Source organism: Homo sapiens, chromosome 7 (genome assembly GCF_000001405.40).
Source record: "Homo sapiens chromosome 7, GRCh38.p14 Primary Assembly".
NCBI classification, from domain to species: Eukaryota; Metazoa; Chordata; class Mammalia; order Primates; family Hominidae; genus Homo; species Homo sapiens.
The window spans coordinates 148,477,947-148,480,917 of record NC_000007.14 but is presented as its reverse complement, the minus strand read 5'-3'; the positions used below and the strand labels follow the sequence as shown (position 1 = coordinate 148,480,917).

Below are 2,971 nucleotides of genomic sequence, written 5' to 3'. Positions count from 1 at the left end.
AAGAGGGAATTCAGTGTTCTCCAGGCCCAGCTGGCCTGGGGCTCAGGCATGTGGTCCCAAATTGTCAAACTTTCATTTTCTGTCAGCATTGGAGGCCAGAATATCTCAGCATCAGCATGACTGATATTTTAGACTGGACACGTCTTTGCTGTGGGGGGCTGCCTGTGCATTGGTGGATGATGAGCTGCATCTCTGGCTTCTATCCACCAGATGACAGTAGGACCCTCTCTCAAAGTCATGACAATCAAGAATATGCCAGCTACTGCTAAATGTCCTCTGGGGGCAAAGTTGCCTGAGTTGGGAACCACTGGCTTGAAACTACTCTCCGCAGGTTTTATCCAAAAGCCCATCCTTGACTGGCTTCTTCCACGTCCCTGTTCTTTTCCCCCCACCTCTCTACTGACCTGGGAGCATGCCCTTAGCAGGTTACGTGCATGCAAAAGAGAGTATGAATGGTTCTAGGCAAGCTACTTAACTTCTCTGAGTACCGGTTTAATCATTTGTAAAAGGGAGGTCCCTTCAGTTCTAATACTTGGTCATATATAAAGACCACAGAGTGTCAGAGCCTGGGTATTCTTATTGTCTCCAGGATTTGCTGCCAGAGAAATAGCAGACAGAAACCCCTGTAAACAAATGTTTGTTGACTGAATGATGGAGTAGCAGCTGAGGAGACCTCAGAAGCTATAATTTTTTTTTTTTTTTCAAGACAGAGCCTTGCTTTGTCACCCAGGCTGGAGTGTAGTGGCACAATCTGGGCTCACTGCAACCTCTGCCTCCCAGGAACAAGCGATTCTTCTGCTTCAGCCTCCCAAGTAGCTGGGATTACAGGCATATGCCACCAGGCCTGGCTAATTTTTGTATTTTTAGTAGAGACGGGGTTTCACTATGGCCAGGCTGGTCTCAAACTCCTGACTTTGTGATCCACCCAACTCAGCCTCCCAGAGTGCTGGGATTACAGGCGTGAGCCACTGCGCCCGGCCAGAAGCTATAATTTAAGTGGAATGTGTTGAGAACTGGGTCTGAGGCTCTTCTGTGTAAACTGAGTAACTGCAGCTAACACAGAAGGATTGTGCAATTTTGAAGTAAAGGGGCAGGAACTACAGGAATACACCTGTCGTGGAACATGTTGGGTTTATTTGTTGCAAACAGAGAGAACCCCATGCAGAATTGTGGGGCACCTCAGTAAGAGAGTGCTAGGAAGGACTTAATATAGGATTCGGGCTGTATTTGGTGGTTCTGGGGCTGATCCAAGGAAGCAGAGCTTTGCTCTGGACCGAATGTTGTCAGGAAGCAAATTTTGTGATTAGATATTTTAACAGACAGTATCTGCAAGGGGTTGGAATGAATAGAGGCTCATGCTGTTACTGGTAAAGGAGCAGAGGTCACCCATATTAACCAGGATGGGGAGATGTTTGGTTTCTATGTGATTTGGACAAATGATTCTATTTTTTTCAGTGTTTAGACATGATTAAGGAGTGGTCTTGCTCCTGTCTTGTTCCACTTAGTCACAGAGTGATTGCGTGCTGGTGTTCTGTGGAATCGCCTGTTTAACAGGAAGACACCGCTCCCAGCTGTGTGCCAGGCCGGCTCCCAGTTGTCAAGGGTCTCTTCTGTTTCTCAAAATCTGTCACGTTGCTCTTCTCTTTGGGAAATTAAAATTGACCGGAAGGTGGTAGAGAAATTTGGGGGAACTAAAAACTGCAAAAAAAATGTTAATTTTGGGGGGTATATAAAGTGCACATATATTGTTTGTTGAACATGATTATAAATTGCTCTATTAAATTTTGTGGATTGTTGTTAAACATAGTTGAACAATAGGAAAGATTTTGGCCTTAGATTTGTGGTTGGTGTGTGCCTTCTGGGGCCTGGAAAGCTTCAAGAGTGATGTTTTCTTTCCTTTGCTTTTTGTGCATACACCCCGACAGATACACACATGCACACCCCCCACAGACACACACACACACACGCACATACATACACGCACACACACACGCGCACACACACACACAGATACACACACACACATGCACGCACGCACCAGAAAAAAAATGAAAGTCATTCCAATGGGCTTTGTCTTTAATGCTCTTTGTCTCCTGTAAGGGATTAGTTTTCCATTTGAATTCCTTTGTAATTTCCTGCTGTTGATGACACTGAGGCGGTATTAACAGGAGCAGGAGTGACAGCAGCACTTGTGGGACCGAATAGCGGGAGATGGGGTGAGAGATGTTCCAGCAGTTCCGGGACATGGGCTAACCCAGAAGAGCCAGGGAGTTTGGGTTGAGCATTCAAACTGGCTCTTTTGCTTCTGACCTGAGGATACACAAGACACCCAGCTCCATCATTAAAAGTTTTTGTAATTTTAAAATATTTATTTATTTTTTTTCCTGAGAGGGAATCTTGCTCTGTCGCCCAGGCTGGAGTGCAGTGGCAGGATCTCGGCTCACCGCAACCTCTGCTGCCCTGGTTCAAGCAATTCCCTTGCCTCAGCCTCCTGAGTAGCTGGGATTACAGGCGCACGCCACCATGTCTGGCTATTTTTTTTTGTATTTTTAGTAGAGATGGGGTTTCACCATGTTGGCCAGACTGGTCTCGAACTCCTGTCCTCAGGCAATCCACCCGACTCGGCCTCCCAAAGTGTTGGGATTACAGGCATGAGCCACCGTGCCTGGCCTAAAATAAATTTTAATTGTGCAAATAATCAAATGTCAAAAAGTCCAAACTGCGACCACAGACCCTGCAATGCTTTCTCCAAGATAAATCCTCCAGCGACTGGTTGAGGCAGGATTTCACCTGCCCAGTTCTGGTATGGCTCCACCTGGAATCTTCTAAAAAAACAGTAAAGTGTTTAAGGGACAGGGCTCTGCCTCATGATACTCTACCCTTGGTGAAATGTCCAGTTGTTCCTGTTCTTATAAAACTAAGAGCCTAATGACAGGAACCCGAAATATTGAAACTTGGGCTTTCTGAAGTC

At 46.0% G+C, this 2,971-nt stretch overlaps 1 annotated feature.

The window, feature by feature from the left end:
• Positions 1,851-2,370: an enhancer, noted in NCBI's record as "NANOG hESC enhancer chr7:148175640-148176159 (GRCh37/hg19 assembly coordinates)". NCBI's record gives its function as "activates a minimal SCP1, AML or CMV promoter by ChIP-STARR-seq in naive H9 embryonic stem cells {active_cell/tissue: H9 hESC(naive)}" and the evidence as "EXISTENCE:reporter gene assay evidence [ECO:0000049][PMID:30033119]".